Source organism: Homo sapiens, chromosome 19 (assembly GCF_000001405.40).
Source record: "Homo sapiens chromosome 19, GRCh38.p14 Primary Assembly".
Taxonomy (NCBI): Eukaryota; Metazoa; Chordata; class Mammalia; order Primates; family Hominidae; genus Homo; species Homo sapiens.
In genome coordinates, this window is record NC_000019.10 from 49,888,767 (window position 1) to 49,906,453 (window position 17,687).

At 56.1% G+C, this 17,687-nt stretch overlaps 1 protein-coding gene across 6 annotated transcripts in view, besides 7 other annotated features; it reads right to left on the reverse strand.

Moving 5' to 3' along the window:
- Positions 888-17,687, reverse strand: part of IL4I1 (interleukin 4 induced 1) — a 39,851-nt gene continuing 23,051 nt past the window's right edge. For 2 of the 6 annotated variants that reach the window (NM_001258017.2, NM_172374.3), the window contains exons 3-10: positions 15,433-15,555; positions 12,873-13,055; positions 7,049-7,287; positions 6,302-6,414; positions 5,502-5,703; positions 2,639-2,707; positions 2,205-2,341; positions 888-1,834 (exon numbers count right to left, since the gene is read on the reverse strand). In NM_001258017.2, the coding sequence (NP_001244946.1) occupies positions 904-1,834; positions 2,205-2,341; positions 2,639-2,707; positions 5,502-5,703; positions 6,302-6,414; positions 7,049-7,287; positions 12,873-12,951 (1,770 nt within the window). In that variant the 5' untranslated portion in view covers positions 12,952-13,055; positions 15,433-15,555 and the 3' untranslated portion in view covers positions 888-903. Of the gene's footprint in view, positions 1,835-2,204; positions 2,342-2,638; positions 2,708-5,501; positions 5,704-6,301; positions 6,415-7,048; positions 7,288-7,381; positions 7,417-8,068; positions 8,122-12,872; positions 13,114-15,432; positions 15,556-17,687 lie in introns of those variants that run through there. The other 4 variants (NR_047577.2, NM_001258018.2, NM_001385639.1 and 1 more) reach the window with 4 other exon arrangements.
- Positions 1,313-1,980: an enhancer, noted in NCBI's record as "H3K27ac-H3K4me1 hESC enhancer chr19:50393336-50394003 (GRCh37/hg19 assembly coordinates)". NCBI's record gives its function as "activates a minimal SCP1, AML or CMV promoter by ChIP-STARR-seq in naive H9 embryonic stem cells {active_cell/tissue: H9 hESC(naive)}" and the evidence as "EXISTENCE:reporter gene assay evidence [ECO:0000049][PMID:30033119]".
- Positions 1,356-1,525: a silencer, noted in NCBI's record as "silent region_10944". NCBI's record gives its function as "represses an Ori minimal core promoter by ATAC-STARR-seq in GM12878 lymphoblastoid cells {active_cell/tissue: GM12878}" and the evidence as "EXISTENCE:reporter gene assay evidence [ECO:0000049][PMID:35858748]".
- Positions 1,756-1,945: a silencer, noted in NCBI's record as "silent region_10945". NCBI's record gives its function as "represses an Ori minimal core promoter by ATAC-STARR-seq in GM12878 lymphoblastoid cells {active_cell/tissue: GM12878}" and the evidence as "EXISTENCE:reporter gene assay evidence [ECO:0000049][PMID:35858748]".
- Positions 1,981-2,649: an enhancer, noted in NCBI's record as "H3K4me1 hESC enhancer chr19:50394004-50394672 (GRCh37/hg19 assembly coordinates)". NCBI's record gives its function as "activates a minimal SCP1, AML or CMV promoter by ChIP-STARR-seq in primed H9 embryonic stem cells {active_cell/tissue: H9 hESC(primed)}" and the evidence as "EXISTENCE:reporter gene assay evidence [ECO:0000049][PMID:30033119]".
- Positions 2,650-3,316: an enhancer, noted in NCBI's record as "H3K4me1 hESC enhancer chr19:50394673-50395339 (GRCh37/hg19 assembly coordinates)". NCBI's record gives its function as "activates a minimal SCP1, AML or CMV promoter by ChIP-STARR-seq in naive and primed H9 embryonic stem cells {active_cell/tissue: H9 hESC(naive and primed)}" and the evidence as "EXISTENCE:reporter gene assay evidence [ECO:0000049][PMID:30033119]".
- Positions 6,607-6,656: an enhancer, noted in NCBI's record as "active region_14966". NCBI's record gives its function as "activates an Ori minimal core promoter by ATAC-STARR-seq in GM12878 lymphoblastoid cells {active_cell/tissue: GM12878}" and the evidence as "EXISTENCE:reporter gene assay evidence [ECO:0000049][PMID:35858748]".
- Positions 9,051-9,230: an enhancer, noted in NCBI's record as "active region_14967". NCBI's record gives its function as "activates an Ori minimal core promoter by ATAC-STARR-seq in GM12878 lymphoblastoid cells {active_cell/tissue: GM12878}" and the evidence as "EXISTENCE:reporter gene assay evidence [ECO:0000049][PMID:35858748]".

Sequence of the window (17,687 nt, forward strand, 5' to 3'; positions counted from 1 at the left end):
TGGGGGGAAGGCTGCCAAGTGGGCTCTGACCTGGTTGAGGAGGGGATGGTGGCTGGGCAGAGCCTAGGGTGAATGATTGGGGTTTGTGGAGGCAGGGCTTCCTGAGTTGCCTGATTTGTTTTTTTGTTTGTTTGTTTTATGAGATGGAGTCTTGCTCTGTCGCCCAGGCTGGAGTGCAGTGGCAGATCTCGGCTAACTGCAGCCTCCGCCTCCCGGGTTCAAGCAATTACCCTGCCTCAGCCTCCTGAGTAGCTGGGACTACAGGCGTGTGCCACCACACCCGGCTGATTTTTGTAATTTTGGTAGAGATGGGGTTCCACCATGTTGCCCAGGCTGGTCTTGAACTCCCGACCTCAGGTGATCTGCCTGCCTTGGCCTCCCAAAGTGCTGGTATTACAGGCGTGAGCCACCGCGCCCGGCCTGATTTGGGGTTTTTGGAAGAGGATAGGGTGCTCTGGGCTGTGGCGGCGACCTGGTAGCTGTGTGGGAACACTTCCCGGACATAACCAAGGTGGAAGGGCCTGCAGAGATGCACTCTGGGGAGCCTGCCCTCCCAGCTGCTGCTTGTGAGAAAAATCACCTCCTGTTCAGCCACTGTCAGCTGGGCTTTCTGTTACTTGCATTAGGGCCCATCTGGACTTCAGCCTCGTGACAGAGGTGGTCGCTGTGATTGCCATTTCCCGGTGGTGCAGGGCGTCCTTCCGGTTCCCTCTGTGCGCACCACCCCCCACCCTCCTCTGGAGCCCCACTGTCCAGGAAGAAGTGAGGGGCAGATTTTTGGGGGGGCTCCAGGATGGGCGTGGCGCCTGCTAACTGCAGGGCTAGTGGTTCCGATGCAGGCAAACTGGGGAAGTAACTGAGCCACGGGGGAGGCTGGACCACACGGCTTTTTCCGAAAATACTTTAATGCGAGGTCCTCGTGTGGGTCGTGTTTTGGAGAGATAACTGGCCTTGGACTGGAGGGTGGCTGCCTTCTTCCTTTGCCAGGTCATGCGAGGGGCTGCTGGCCACCCCATGCACATGCCCCTGCCCCTCCATGTCAGATGCGTGCCCCTCGGGGCTGGCCGTGTCCGATGCAGGCCCCTTCCGGCTGTTGATCTTGATGGCGGCGCGCAGCGCCGACTTGACCGCCGTCTCCACCCAGCCGTGCGGGTAGGCGGTGTGCTCGCCGGCAAAGTAGATGCGGCCATAAGGGACCGTCCAGTCATCCTTTTCGGTTTGCCAGAGCGCCGGCGGCTGTACCACAAAGCCACCCTGGCTGTGCTGGTCCTCCGCCCAACGCTTGACGACGCCGGTGCCGTCCCAGAGCTGGCGCACGACAGGCCCGTGCAATGCCGCCACGTCGTCGAGCGCCAAGCGCAACGCCTCTTCCCGGCTCAAGCCGGCGAACGCTGCCGCCGCGTCCGACCACGTGTACGAGGCCAGCAGCAGCGCGCCCTCGCGCGGCGGCGGGTAGAAAATCATGCGCGACGGGCGATCGGTGTTTGAGTGGCCGCCTTCAATGTGCTCCTCGCGCCAGAAGGGCCTGCGGAAGCTTAGGAACACCTTGGTGGCCGGCACGTAGTGCAGCCTCCGCAGCGCCTCCTGCATGTGGCGGGGCAGCGGCGGCGAGAAGGTGATGCGCTTCACCGCCGGTCCGCTCGCCGTCAGCAGCACCACGTCGGCCTTCAGCACCTTCAGATTCCGCGCCGGGGGAGAGGTCTCGATCTGCACGTGCACATCGTGCGGTCCCTGGGTCATCGCCACCACGGGCGCGTTCAACAGCACAAGCCCGGACAGCGAGCTCAGCAGCGCGCGCGGCAGCAGGTCCCAGCCACCCACGATGCGGCTGTACCTGCAGGCGGGGCGGGGCGGGGTGGGGGCGTGACCTGGGCTCTGCGGCCCTGCCCCTCTGCCTTGCCCCACCCACCCCGGCAGCTGGCCCTTATGGGCACCGGCCCGCTCCCCCGTCATCCACCTCTCCCGACCCCGCCCGTCCCTGACATCCCAAAGGCCGCAGGAGTAGTGGATTGTGTCACCAGGGACCCCACCACTTCTCCCCTAGGCCGTGTCCTTTATCTGGGAACCCTTAGCCCCGCGACCATCAATTAGGCCACGCCCTTCACAACAGCCCCGCCCCCAGACCCAGAGGCTCCTCCCACTCCCTGCTACTTTCCCTGATTGCCCCCCGCCCCCCCCCCCTGCCCGCCAGCCCCGCCCCTTACTGGAGTCTGTCGCTGAGGCAGCTGTGGGCCCGGAGGGCCTCGGCGAAGCTGAGATAGAAGAAGCCATCCTCGGACATCACGTCTCCCAGAAGCTGCACGGCCGGCCGGCTCAGGTTCCCCTCCCCGAGAAGATATTCCTGCAGGTTGGGCACAGGCCGAGGTTAGGGCCCAGGCAGGCTGCACCCCTGAGAGAGCCCCTCCGCAGCTGGGCCTCCTGGTCCCATGACATGTCCTTGGACCGTAGGATCCTGTCCCCACTCTCTGACAGATGAGGGAAACGGAGGTCCAGACAGGGGGCGTGTCCAGCCCCCGGGTCAGGCAGGAAGGCGGTGGCAGGACTAGGGTGCCAGGTACCCGCCTTCTGACTCTCTGGGGAAGGCCTCATGGTCACTCTCTTTGCCCTGCATCTCAGCAGAACCAAGATCCCCACTTACCAAGAGCGTGTGCCTTTCAAACTTCTTCATCGCCTTTCTGCAGCCCAGTGCCTTGAGGTCTTTGAGGGCCTGTTGTGGAAGAAGCAGACATGGTGCTGAGCTGCCCGGGCAGCCAGGGTGGAGGCCGGGCCTGGAGCCCACACTCGGCTTCTCCTCGTGGTTCTGCCCACGGCTGGCCATTCACCACTCTCAAGCCCCTGGGCTTTTGCCCACACCATGCCCTCCGCCTTGCCCTCCACGGCAACTCAGATGCCACTGCTCCTCCGATATTACCGAACTGTTAACGCCGCCCATCCCCCCTCATTCGGCTGGCCCGGCTGGTCACAGCTCATCCCGGTTGCGTGTTATTTTGCCTATTTTTCAGCCAGCCAGCCAGACTGTGAGCTCCATGGAGGCAGGGATGTGGGCAGCTGGAGAGGAGACTGGGAGAGGGTCCCAGGCGTGCTGTGTCCTCCCGGGGGCTCAGTGATTATTTGTTGCCTGAATCACTGTGGCCACGGACAGAAGCTGGTCCCCTGTGCCACTGGTCAGTGCTGACAGGGCATGATGGCTGAGAAGTTTATCTACCGTCCGTCCCCTGCCCACAGCCCTCCTGTAGCTCCCCAGTGCCTGGAGCCACAGAATTCTTGCCCCTCAGCCTCATGTTCAAGGCCCCTGCTAGCCCCTCAATGTCTTTTTTTTTTTTTTTTTTTTTTGAGATGGAGTGTCGCTCTGTTGCCCAGGCTGGAGTGCAGTGGCGCCATCTCAGCTCACTGAAACCTCTGCCTCCCAGGTTCAAGTGATTCTCCCACCTCACCCTCCCAAGTAGCTGGGATTACAGGCGCCTGCCACCACACCTGGCTCATTTTTGCATTTTTAGTAGAGACAGGGTTTCATCATGTTGGTCAGGCTGGTCTCGAACTCCTGACCTCAAGTGATCTGCCTGCCTCGGCCTCCCAAAGTGCTGGGATTACAGGCGTGAGCCACTGCGTGCCAGGTACCCGCCTTCTGACTCTCTGGGGAAGGCCTCATGGTCACTCTCTTTGCCCTGAATCTCAGCAGAACCAAGATCCCCACTTACCTCAGTCCATGTCTTTTATGGCAGCTCTGGTTCTGTGAACAGTGTACAGTGCCCAGACCACCTGCCCTCAGGGCTCTCCCACCTACACATCTGGCACCTATTGTTTCCCTGCCTGTCTTTGCGTGGCACATGAGTGCGTGTTCTTCAGCACTTTGTTCGAATCTCACCCCCTCCCAGAAGCCTTGCTGCCCCCATCTAATTTCAGCCTTCTTCTTGGTCCACCTGGCTTCCCCCTTCTGGCCAGGACCTCAGAGGGAAGGCAGTGCCCCTTCACTCACTCATGCATCTCGCATCTCTCAGACTCCCAAACCAGTCAGTGTCAAGGCATAGAAATGACCTGGACATGGCCCCCATCCTGGTCTAGAAGGGGAGATGGGCAAGTGGGCTCTGACCTGGGTGGGGAGGGGATGTTGGGTGTGGCCAGTTCCTCCCTAAAGGTATCAGGGAAGGCTTCCTGGAGGAGGGGACATTGGAGCTAGTTCTTGAGGGCTGAGCAGGAGTTCCTGTGTGGGGAAGGGAAAGGCATTCTGGAAAGGGAGGGTGATACACAGGTATAGTGGGTGTGAGGAACACAGAGCTGGGGGCATGTGGACCACCATGAGGACAAAAATTTCTTAGAGGAGAAAAGAGCATGAGGCTGGAGGGGTGCAGAAGGGAAGGCCAGTCAGGGCTCAAAGCTGAGCCTGAAAAGATCAGACTTTGTCCTGGAGGCAGCGGGGAGCCACTGGGGGCTGTGAGCAGCATCACTCTGGGTGTGTGGGAAGACGTTTCTGGTACCAGGCTGGGGAGACTAGAGCCTGGGCAGCTTGAGAGGAGGCTGGGGGAGGGTCCAGGGCAGAGGAGGAGGCCTGAGCTGGGGCAGGCAGAGGGGAGCAGGGCACAAGCGTCAGGCGGCAGGGGTGGGCACTGATGGTGGGGGAGGTGGGCGAGGAGGAGGTCAGGAGGAGGATGGCTCCTAGGGGTCTGCCCGTGACTGCGGGATGGTGGGGCCATCGTGAGATGGGGGCACCGGGAGGAGGAACAGGTTTAGGGGAAGCTTCTGAGCCCAGTGTCCTGGGGAGGGACACAGATCAGGGTCTCGGGAGGCAGATGTCTCCATCAGCCCATGGATCTATGTTTAAGCCAGAGGTGGAGACTGGGGAGGTTATCCAGGACAGTGTGTGGGTGAAAGGGGAAGAGGCCAAAAGCTGATGCAGCTTTGGGGTCAGCAGTGTTTACGGGGAAGCTAAAGAAGGGAGTTGGGGCCGGGGGCAGTGGCTCACGCCTGTAATCCCAGCACTTTGGGAGGCTGAGGCAGGTGGATCACGAGGTCAGGAGTTCAAGATCAGCCTGGCCAAGATGGTGAAACCCCGTCTCTATTAAAAATACAAAAATTAGCTGGGCGTGGTGGCGGGCGCCTGTAATCCCAGCTACTCGGGAGGCTGAGGCAGAGAATTGCTTGAACCTGGGAGGCGGAGGTTGCAGTGAGCTGAAATGGCGCCATTGCACTCCAGCCTGGGTGACAGAGTAAGACTCCATCTCAAAAAAAAAAAAAAAAAAAAAAAAAAGAAGGGAGTTGAGAGATGACCCATATGTGTAGAAGCCCCTGGGCTGGCCCATTCTCATTCTCGGATTTCAGTGAGTAGGTCAGTGGTTAGACCTCATGGCACACATCCCCTTGGTAGAATTTCCATCTCCACCAACAGGCGCCCCACCCCATGGAGGGGACTGAAGGGATGCCAGAGAGAAGAAAAGCCGGGCCGGGGCGAGCTTAGGAGGAGGACAGAGAAGTCAGGGCGGGAGGAGGGTGCAGGCGGTACCCACCTGGTTGAGAGCCATCTGGTAGATGTCTTCGGGCGAGTGGCCCTTTTCCTGGGGACGCAAGGCGTAGCCCAGCTTCTCGGGCACCTTCTCCACCACATAGTTGCGCAGCTTCACTTCGTGCACCTCCGTCCACGTGTTCTTGTCGTACTGGGTGAACTTGGTCAGGTTGAGCCCCAGGCCCTGGCAGAGCTTGTGGAGGATCCTGATCAGGGGAGTGGGTGAGTGAGGGCCGGGCTCCAGTGGGGGTGGCCTGGTCCCTAGTGGGACTTGGAGAAGAGGGGTGGGAGGGGAGAGTAGCTGGGGACCAGCATGAGGCTGGGGGTGGGGCTAGATTTGGGGTAATCAATGCTGGGGGATGGGAATGAAATGGGGACAAGGCTGGAGGCCTCAGGGCAGTACCAGGATTAGGATTGGGTTAAGAGTGGGATAGAGCCCAGATTAGAATTGGGAAGGGGGACAGAGTTTGGGTTGGACGGGGGTTTGAGATGAAGAAGGGGCCTGGGGCTGGGGTGCCTGAGGGTGTGGGGATGGTGGAGCTGCAGGCCTGGAGGGGCCAGCACAGGAGCTGGCTTTTGCACCAGGCAGGGCCAGCTGGAGGTCTGGTTGGACCAGGTGGCCCGAGTGTTGCCAGAGGCCCAGGGCTGGCGCTGGAGGCAAGACTGAGGTGAGGATTAGGCGAAGGATGGGGTTGGAGGCTGGGTTTGGGAGTCAGAGTGGAAGTTCGGGCCCACTCTGGTGTGGGCATGGAGCTGGGGGGCTAGTTGAGTCTAGGCACACAGGTGGGTGGGTTGCTAGGTCACCTGTGAGAGCTGGGCATGCGCATGGCTCCCAGCTCCCCAATCCAGCCCGTGTTCTGGTCCCGGTAGGTGAAGATGCGGCCCCCGATCCTGTTATCTGCCTCCAGGATGGTGACCTGAGGGAGTCCGTGGGGCGAGGAGGGCCCTTCAGCTCCACCCACTGACCATCCCCTGCCCTCTACCACCCCGTGCCAGCCCCCTGCCTTCTTCCATCCCCACAGTGGCCCAGACCCAGACTAGGAGAGGGTCCCCTTCTGTATGGAGGTGGGGGAACAGAACTGAGTGAGCAGTTCCAGACTGCAGGAGGAAGGCTGCCAGCTAGACTGCAAAGGGACTTCCCAGCTCGGGGAGTTCGGAGATGACCCATATGCGTAGAAGCCCCTGGGCTGGCCCATTCTCATTCTCGGATTGCAGTGAGTAGGTCAGTGGTTAGACCTCAGGGCACACATCCCCTTGGTAGAGTTTCCCTCTCCACCAACAGGCGCCCCACCCCAGGACAGAGGAGCTTTGAGCCAGTGAGACTTCCCTCTGGGATGAAAAACGTGGGACAGGAAAGTCTGGGGCCTCTCAGTGGAGACATGTGACAGCAGGGGGCTTGGGCCTCACCCCCAGACTACAGGGAAAGATAGCCTCTCCCCCCACATCCCCACCTCCACCCCCTCAAGGAGGAACGCGGCCGTGTCCCTGTGCCCAGGGACTCCAGCCTGCAGCAGGAGGGACTCCAGGTAGACTGCAAGCAGTGCTTCCCACCTTGTGTCCAGCATCGCTGAGCACCTTGGCGGCCACCAGCCCGGCCACACCAGCGCCAACCACAATCACCCTCTGGGGCTTCAGGGTCCGATTGAGCCCCCAGGTCACCACCTTGAGCAGCTGCTCATAGTCAGGATCCTGCATGCATTTCTCGAAGGGGTCTTGGCTGCGTTCAGCCTTCCAGTCCTGGGAGGCCACCAGGCTGAGGAGGATGGGGACGAGGACGAGGAGGTGCAGGGCTGGGAGGAGGAGGACAGGGTCAACGGGGTTGTGGCAGGTCGGGGGAGAGGGGTTCTACTCACTTGTTCCAGAGCCCCTCCCCTGCTTACTCACCCAATGGGGCCATGACTCTCGGTGGGAGATGGTGTCTGGGGTGGAGGAGAAGGGAGGGCTGTTGTGACTGAGGCCTGTGACCACTGTAGCCTGACTCTGTCTCCCATGGGCTGCCCAGCTGCTAGAGCCGGCCCTCCCCCAGTCACTGTCCTGCTCTCTGGACCTGTGTCCCCTAACCCCATTCCTTCAGAGTCCCCTGGACCGTCCCTGCCTCCCTCCTCACCGGTCTCCACCTCTGCCACAGCTCTCTCGGGTTCCTGTCTCTTTCTCTTCTTTTCCCTCTTTCTTTCCTTTCTTTCTTTTTTTTTTAACAGTCTTTCTCTGCCATCCAGGCTGGAGTGCAGTGGTAAGATCTTGGCTCACTGCAACCTCCGCCTCCCAGGTTCAAGAATCCTCCCACTTCAGCCTCCCAAGTAACTGGGATTACAGACACCCATAACCAAACCTGGCTAATTTTTGTATTTTTAGTAGAGACGGGGTTTCGCCATGTTGGCCAGGCTGGTCTCGAACTCCTGACCTTAGGTGATCCACCCACCTCGGCCTCCCAAAGTGCTGGGATTCCAGGCATGAGCCCCCGCGCCCGGCCTCTTTTCCCTCTTCCTCATCTCCCCAGCTCCTGACTGCTTCTCAGTCCCTATTTCTGTGGGTCCTGTCTCTCTGTCCCCCCACCACTGGCCGTGTCACTACCTCCAGCTCTTGGTGACAGCAGGACAGCGCGGTCCTCTCCACTGCCCTCCACTGTCTCTGCTGTGGCCCTTTCTCTCCCCTTAAACTGGCAGAGCCCCGCCCACCCCTCCTTTTGGGAAACTGGCCGAGGGAAATGAAACTGGTTTCCTGGAGCTGCTCTGGTCCAATGCTCAGAGTCTAGTTGAGGTTGGAGAAAGGGGGTTGGAGGAAGTTAATCAGTCTATTCACTTCCTTTTGCCCCAGATAGTTCTGGGGTGGTTTGGAGGCCAGAAATAGATGCTCAGGTAACCGTGCCAACAACGGGGAATCCCCTTCGGTTTGCCCCCGTCCCTGATCACCAGGCCACTTGTTTCTATCCTCCCCTGCACTCTCTCTGCCTCCTTGATTCCCACGGGGACAGAGGGGCTACAGGTCCCTGGGCCAGGCCAACTTTCCCCTCCAAGTCCCTCTCCGTCAGGTGTCGCCATGTCCTGCAGGGCCCCCCATGGTTCCACTTCCCTCTCCACTTGCCACCCAGAGCCTCAGTCTCCCCCTCCGTTACATGGGTGTAGCAGTGGGGCTGGCAGCCGTGGTCCCGGGGTCAGGACGTGGGCTCTGAGCCCGCCCTCCCCTCTGTGGCTCTCGTCTACAGCTGTCAAATGACGTCTACAGACGTCACAGTGTTTTAGGATCAAGTGAGTGAATCCAGGTTAAGTTCTGTGGCCGGAACCTGGGGTAGTACTGGAAGCTGCTCCTTTGGAAATGCCAGCTGCTGTGGCCGCAGGGGCACTCAGGGGTTCTATGAGTGACCACCCGGCAGAGGGAAGCGCCCAGGCTTCACCCATCCCTGCTTTAAGAACCACCTCAGTGCTCAGGGCAGGGAGTGGGGCGGCACCTTGGAGTGGGTGGGGGTGGAGAAACAATAGCAGGGACTTTCCTTGGGGTGGGGGAGAGGGAGCCAGGGGCTCCGTGAGGAGGAAAACCAGAGGGAGGCAGATTCTCTGCAGCAAGGGTTGGGTGGGGGTTGGAGGGCATTAACAAGAAGGAAGATGGGAAACTCCCGCAGTAAATCAAAGAGGGATGCGGTTATGGCCGGGAGGGGCTGGGGGGTGAATGTGAGTAACAAGGCATGTGACGCAGGGGCGGGAGGCCGTGGCAAAGGGAAATGATCAAAGAGCTGGAGAGTTCAGGGACCGAAAGAGCTTGGGTCAGCAAAAATAGTGACGAGGGCCAGGGGTGGCTCACGCCTATAATCCCAGCACTTTGGGAGGTCGAGGCAGGCGGATCACCTGATGTCAGGAGTTCAAGACCAGCCTGGCCAACATGGCAAAACCTCGTCTCTACTAAAAATATAAAAATTAGCCGGGCATGGTGGCATACGCCTGTAGTCCCAACTACTCAGGAGGCTGGGACAGGAGAATTGCTTGAACCCAAGAGGTGGAGGTTGCAGTGAGCTGAGATCGTGCCACTGCACTCTAGCCTGGGTGACAGAGCCAGACTCCATCTCAAAAAATAAAAAATAAAAATAAAAAATAGTAATGAGGGCCGGGTGCGGAGGCTCACTGCTGTAATCCTAGCACTTTGGGAGGCCGAGGTGGGAGGATTGCTTGAGCCCAGGGGCTCGAGACCAGCCTGGCCAAGATGGCGAAACCCTTTCTCTAAAAAAGAAAAAAATAGTGACAAAAATGTTCCCATGGCGATCACCTGCCTTGGAGGCCGCCTGGTGCTCAGGGCTTTGCACCCATCGTAAGCCTCACAATGCCTGCATTTGAGGCCAGGCACAGTGGCTTACGCCTGTAATCCCAGCACTTTGGGAGGCTGAGGTGGGCGGATCACTTGAGGTCAGGAGTTCAAGACCAACCTGGCCAAAATGATGAAACCCTGTCTCTACCAAAAATATAAAAAATTAGCCAGGCGTGGTGGTGCACACCTGTAATCCCAACTACTCGGGACACTGAGGCAGGAGAATCGCTTGAACCCGGGAGGCAGAGGTTGCAGTGAGCCGAGATTGCACCGCTGCACTCCAGCCTGGGGGACAGAGTGAGACTCCGTCTCAAAAACAAACAAACAAACAAACAAAAAACCAACAACAATGCCTGCATTTGATAGTTGAGGAAACTGAGGCTTGGAGATGGCGAGAGGGTGGGACAGGAGGACCCTGGGGCACAGAGAGGGGAAAAGGCTTGGCCTAGGTCTCAGAGTTTCATTCACAGCGACATGTCAAGTATGAACGCGGCGGGATTGGGGCCTTATTCGCCTGTGCCTCGACCTGGGTCCCACAGTGGGGAATGGCAGTGCTGGCATTCCTCACCAGGTCGGGTGGGCCCCAGGTCCCCGGCCCCTGCCCAATAGCTTGTTCAGTCCTACAGCCGCATAACAGTGGAAACAACCATGGAAAGGTGTGGAGGCCCACAGCCAACTGGCTCCCAGGGCATGTCCCAGGAGTTTTTGGGTCCCCAGAGTGGGTGGGGCCCTGCACCAATCCCCTTGTCCTTATCACAGAGGGTTGTTGCACAAAACTCCTCTGGCCCCAGGCATATGTGCAGCTCACCTTGGGGGACTTCTGGGTGGTTGTTGTTGTTGTTTTGAGAGATGGGGTCTTGCTGTGTCACTCAGGCTAGAGCACAGTGGCACAATCTCGGCTCACTGCAGCCTCAACCTCCCGGGCTCAAGCAATCCTCCCACCTCAGCCTCCCTAGTAGCTGGGACTACAGGAGTGCACTACCACACCTGTTTTTTGTTTTTTTTGTTTTTTTTAATTGAGACGGAGTCTCACTCTGTCACCCAGGCTGGAGTGTAGTGGCGCTATCTTGGCTCACTGCAAGCTCCACCTCCTGGGTTCACGCCATTCTCCTGCCTCAGCCTCCAGAGTAGCTGGGACTACAGGCACCTGCCACCACGTCCGGCTAATTTTTGTATTTTTAGTAGAGATGAGATTTCACCGTGTTAGCCAGGATGGTCTCAATCTCCTGACTTTGTGATCTGCCCGCCTCGGCCTCCCAAAGTCCTGGGATTACAGGCGTGAGCCACCTCGCCCGGCCACACCTGGCTAATTTCTGTGCTGTTTGTAGAGATGGGATTTTGTTATGCTGCCCAGGCTGGTCTTGAACTCCTGGGCTTAAGCGATCCTCCAGCCTCAGTCTCTCGAGTAGCTGGGACCACAGGTGCACACCACCATGCACAGCTAAATTTTTGTACTTTTTCATAGCGACGGGGCCTTGCTATGTTGCCCAGCCTGGTCTCAAACTCCTGGGCTCAGGTGATCTACCTGCCTTGGCCTCCCAGAGTGCTGGGATTACAAGCATGAGCCACTATGCCCGGCCCCTTTGAGCTTTTTTGTGCATTTCACATCATCTTCATTCAGCATGTATTACTTTTGTAATTAAAGAAAAAAAAATCCCAATTAATGTTAGTTTGAAGCAATACATCAGACAGGCCAGGTGCCCCCAGTGAAGAGCAGAGGGCGCAAGTCAGCTGGTTCAGGATTGATGCCTTTCCAGAATGCTCTGTCGCCCAGGCTGGAGTACAGTGGTGTGATCTCAGTTCACTGTGGCCTCTGCCTCCTGGGTTCAAGTGATTCTCCTGCCTCAGCCTCCCCAGTAGCTGGGATTACAGGTGCGCGCACCACCACGCTCAGCTAATTTTTATATTTTTAGTAGAGACGGGGTTTCTCCATGTTGGACAGGCTGGTCTTGAAGTCCTGACCTCAGGTGATCCACCCACCTGGGCCTCCCAAAGTGCTGGGATTACAAGTGTGAGCCACCATGCCCAGCCTCCAGAATCATTTCTGATAATACTAAGGAGATTGGTGTTCAGGTTAAATTAGGTTTAGGGATGAGGGTGGAATTAGGGAAAAGCAGTTTGGATAGGTGAGTGGGAGACAGGAGGGAGGGGAGGGGCAGGTGGAGGGAGCGGAGGGGAGGAAAGGCCCAGTCAAGTATCTGTTGACTTCAGCTGGTTTGGGGGTATTCTGGTTTTTTGATGGAGTTTCTGGAAAATAAGGTTAATCCTCCCAGATAATGGTCTTTGGTGGGGCAAATCCTACCTTATTTGGTTGACTTCTAGAACCACAATGATGGTTTCGATGAGGTTTAGGTCATGTCTATACAGCAGCCAGACACCTGGCCCTGGCCCCACTGGGGGCCTCGTGGCCCATCAGGGCAGCTGATGCTGATGAGGGCTGCACAGATGTGCTGGGGACCGGGCCCCTGCCTTACGTATATACGCATTCTCTTCTCTGAGTCTGTCCAAAGACCCTAAGTGGTCAGTATTAAAAGTTTCATTGGCCAGACGCGGTGGCTCACTCCTGTCATCACAGCACTTTGGGAGGCCGAGGTGGGCGGGCAGATCACGAGATCAGGAGTTCGAGACCAGCCTGGCCAACATGGTGAAACCCTGTCTCTACTAAAAATACAAAAAAATTAGCCGGGCGTGGTGGCGGGCATCTGTAATCCCAGCTACTCAGGATCCTGAGGCGGGAGAATCGCTCGAGCCTGGGAGGCAGAGGTTGCGGTGAGCCGAGACCGCGCCATTCCACTCCAGCCTGGGCTACAGAGCGAGACTCTGTCTCAAAAACAAAACAAAACAAAACAAACACAAAACTTTCACCAAGGCTTGGGTGGGCAGGGCCTGCCCAGGGGATGACCTGGGACCTGGGTGGGAGTCAGGGGGTCCAGGCCCAGATTGGGGAAGGGACTCAGGGATCGGAGGACAGAATTAGTGAGTCCCCCAATCTTTGGCCTGACCCCAGGACAGGGTCCCCCTTCCCATGGAACCCTCCTTCCTGTTTCCAGAACATCCCAGGGCCCCGGGTGGGGGCACTCACTGCATGGCTGCCTCTGGGGGGCTCTCTCAGCACCCATGGCCTTTATGGTTAGCCCAGGACAGAAGTCATCGTTGGGCATGTGCGGAATCAAGGTGAATGATGGTGGCTTTGTCCTTGTTAGTGGTGCCCTTGTTAGATCAGAGATGCCAAGTTCCTGATATTGGGGTCAGAGCAGCTGGGAGGCTGTGAAAGGCAGGTCCCCCTTTCTCAGAAGTGTTTTATTATGGAAACTTTCAAACATCTAAAACCAGAGTGAGCAGGGGATAAACCCAGGTGAATTCATGGCTTCACACAGCCCTTGTCTCACTCACCCTCCCCGCCCTCTCACTGGATTTATTTTAGAGCAAGTCCCAGGCACCATATTGTCTTCTGATTTTTTGGGACTGAGTCTCGTTCTGTCACCCAGGCCGGAGTGCAGTGGCACAATCTCAGCTCACTGCAACCTCCACCTCCTGGGTTCAAGTGGTTCTCCTGCCTCAGCCTCCCGAGGAGCTGCGATTACAGGTACAGGCCACCATGCCCAGCTAATTTTCGTATTTTTAGTAGAGACAGGGTTTCACCATGTTGGCTGGGCTGGTCTCGAACTCCTGACTTCGGGTGATCCCTCCCATCTTGGCCTCCCAAAGTGCTGGGATTACAAGGCTGAGCCACTGCACCTGACCATGTTTTGCTTTTTAAAAACTACAATATCATTATCATATTTTAAGATGGCAGCCATTTCTTTTTTTTTTTTTTTTTTGAGATGGAGTCTCGCTCAGTTGCCCAGGCTGGAGTGCAGTGGCACGATCTCGGCTCACTGCAAGCTCCGGATGGCAGCCATTTCTTAATATCATTAAATCAATGTTCACGTTTCCTGGAATAGCTCATCACTGAAAAACAAAACAAAACAAAACAAAAAAACAGTTTAGGCCGGGCATGGTGGCTGACACCTGCAATCACAGTACTTTGGGAGGCCGAGGTGAGCGGATCACCTGAGGTCAGGAGCTCAAGACCAGCCTGGGCAACATGGTGAAACCCCATCTCTACTAAAAATACAAAAATTAGCCAGGCGTGGTGGCGGGCACCTCTGTAATCCCAGCTACTCAGGAGGCTGAGGCAGGAGAATCACTTGAACCTGGGAGGCAGAGGTCGCTATGAGTTGAGATCATGCCACTCCAGCCTAGGCGACAGAGCGGGACTGCATCTCAAAAAAAAAAGGCCAGGTGTGGTGGCTCATGCCTGTAATCCCAGCACTCTGGGAGGCCGAGACAGGTGGATCACAAGGTCAGGAGATCAAGACCATCCTGGCCAACATGGTAAAACCCTGTCTCTACTAAAAATACGAAAATTAGCTGGGTGTGGTAGTGCACGCCTGTAGTCCCAGCTACTCAGGAGGCTGAGGCAGGAGAATCGCTTGAACCCGGGAGGCAGAGATTGCAGTGAGCCGAGATCACACCACTGCACGCCAGCCTGAGCAACAGAGCAGGACTCTCTGAAAAAAAAAACAACAACAAAACAAAAAACGGTTGGTTTGTCAAGATGCAAATCACAGTCCATATTGCATTTGAGTGACATTGTCTTGGTCAGTAAGTGTCACTATCAGTTCTGTGGATTCAAGGGAACTAGGGTATCTGAGGTGACCCCAGGGCACCAGGCTAGTCCCCATCACGGCAGCGCACCCGGTCTGCTTCTTGCCTCGGGAAACCTTTGGCGTCTGAGAGGGTTCAACCTGATGGTGTCTGGAGGGGAGACGGGACAAGGGCGCCCATGTGGGTCACTGTGTTTGAAGTCACCAGGGCCCTGGTGTGCAGAAGCCAAGGGTGTGGTCCTGTGGGACAGGCAGGGGAACAGCCGGGGTCACTGAAACCTGGCTGGGGGGCTGGCTGCTGTGCAAGAAGCAGACCTCGCTTCCGAGCGTGAGGGCTTTGCTCCCTGGGAGGTTCTGTGGAGAGCCGCTGCCCTGAGTCTGAGGGGCAGATTTTTAAAGCACCCTGACATTTTTGGGGTTTACTGAAAACTTGGGAGCAGTGGTGTGCTGAAGCTGAGTCATACCAGGTCATAAGAGCTGATTTACATTTTCAGGAGTTTTTGCTTTGCAAGCCACTCATTACTAAAAAATAAATTGTATTGATGATTAGTTTTTACTAAAAAAGAATAAAAAGTCATCATTCCCTCATGGTTTGACTACATATTATACTGTTATATGTGCTGGGTTTTTTTTTTTTTTTTTTTTTTTTTTGAGACAGGGTCTCACTTTTGTTACCCAGGCTGGAGTGCAGTGGTACGATCTCGGCTCACTGCAATGTCTGCCTCCCAGGTTCATGTGATCCTCCCACCTCAGCCTCCAAGTATCTGAAACTACAGGCAGGAGCCACTACGCCAGGCTAATTTTTGTATTTTTGTAGAGACGAGGTTTCGCCATGTTGCCCAGGCTGGTCTCAAACTCCAGACCCCAAGTAATCTACTCCCCTTGGCCTCCCCAAAATGTCGGGATTACAGGCATGAGCCACCACACCCAGCCCCCATTTGCCACTCTTATCCCTAAACAGGGGAAAGCAAAGCAGTAAGAGCTGAGATTCACCTTTAAAAGCCTCTGATTCCAAATTTAGTCACCAAATGTGTTGTCTTCATATGAATTAATGAGGAACTTAAGGAAAGGCCATTTGTCAGGACTGGGAAGGAAGCACATCTGTGTATTTTCTTCCTGGAAAGGGAAACTGAAATTACGATGGAGCCATCACCCGCGGTGGCACCCAGTCGGTTGCTGATGCTGCTGCGATCTCGGGATCCCTCCTAGACTCCCCCAGGAGGCCTGTTGGGACCATTTCTCACATGGCTTTGGGGCACAGAGCCTCCTGATTTAATGGAATCACTTGTGTTATTCAGAGTGGGGTGCTCAAGATCCTTTGGGGTATGGGAAGAAAATGCAGAACTTAAAATTTTTTTTTTGAGATGAAGTCTAACTTTGTTGCCCAGGCTGGAGTGCAGTGGCGCGATCTTGGCTCACTGCAACCTCCGCCTCCCAGGTTCAAGTGATTCTCCTGAGTACCTGGGAGTTACAGGCACCCACCACCACGCCGGGCTAATTTTTGTATTATTTATTTACTTATTTGAGACGGAGTCACTCTTTTGCCCAGGCTGGAGTGCAGTGGCTTGATCTCTGCTCACTGTAAGCTCCGCCTCCCGGGTTCATGCCATTCTCCTGCCTCAGTCTCCCGAGTAGCTGGGACTATAGGCGCCTGCCACCACACCCGGCTAATTTTTTTATATTTTTAGTAGAGACAGGGTTTCACCGTGTTAGCCAGGATGGTCTCGATCTCCTAACCTCGTGATCCGCCCACCTTGGCCTCCCAAAGGGCTGGGATTACAGGCATGAGCCACCGTGCCCAGCCCCTAATTTTTGTATTTTTAGAAGATACGGGGTTTCACCATGTTGGCCAGGCTGGTCTCAAACTCCTGACCTCAGGTGATCCACCCGCCTCGGCCTCCCAAAGCTGGAATTTATTTTAAAAATATAACTATAAGAAAGCAATTAAGCTTTGCTAATGGTTAATATACAAAATAGGAAATAATATGCAAAATAATAGGAAAAATATACATGTACACTTTGGAAATACATGCTCAAATTTTCTCATCATGATTGTGTGGCCCCTGCCAACGACCTTGTGGGCATTTTTTGGTACCTCCAGCACCAGATCAGGATCAGCTCTAAAAATGGATGCTGAACGCACAAATGTAGGTAAAATGCAAACTGCTTCCTACCTCCTAAGGGGACTCAAGGCCTCCCTTCCGGCAGAGGGGACAATATGAGTCAAGGCCTATGAACTGCAGGAAAAGGTCCCTGCTGTAGGTGACAGCTTTCAGAGAGAAGTAGCTGGGTTGTGGGGTCTTCCTCTGGTTTACTGCTCCCACCACACACACCCATGGTTTCTACTTAGACACAACTCTTGTCCTCCAGAGCCCAAGATGGTGCAAGGAAATTTTATTTATTTATTTGAGACGAAGTTTCGCTTTTGTTGCCTAGGCTGGAGTGCAATGGCATGATCTCGGCTCACTGCAACCTCCACCTCTCGGGTTCAAGCGATTCTCCTGCCACAGCCTCCCGAGTAGCTGGGATTACAGGCGCCCGCCACTTAACTAGCCACCAGCTCATGTTTGTATTTTTGGTAGAGATGGGATTTCTCCATGTTGGCCATGCTGGTCTCGAACTCCTGACCTCAGGTGTTCTGCCAGCCTTGGCCTCCCAAAGTGCTGGGATTACAGGTGTGAGCCACCGCACCTGGCCGGTCCAAGGAAATAATGACTCATGATCATGACTTCGGGAGACTTTTGGAACCTGGGCCATGAATCTCCCAAGTGTTGCCCACAGACTGAGATGGAACAGGCAGCAGGAGGCCAAAGGGGTACACTCCACTCCCCACAGCCCAGGAGATCTGAGTGCTTAGGACCATTCCAGTCCATAGAGCGAGGCTGGAGGGTGGAGGAAGAGCATTGGGCCCGTGTCTTTAGCCCCAGGTGACAGGAAGGAATGCTGCCCATGACATCTGTAACCACTGGAATAGCGCCTTAGGGATGGTACTAGATGACTTAACATGTGTGTATATTTTTTGAGACAGAGTCTTGCTCTGTCGCCCAGGCTGGAGTGCAGTGGTGTGATCATGGCTCACTGCAGCCTCAAAGGCCTGGGCTTAAATGATCCTTCCATCTCAGCCTCCCAGGTAGCTGGGACCACAGTTGCGTGCCACCACGCACAACCAAACTTTTTTGTAGTTTTTATAGAGACGGGGTTTCACCATGTTGCCCAGGCTGGTCTTGAATCCCTGACCTCAAGTGATC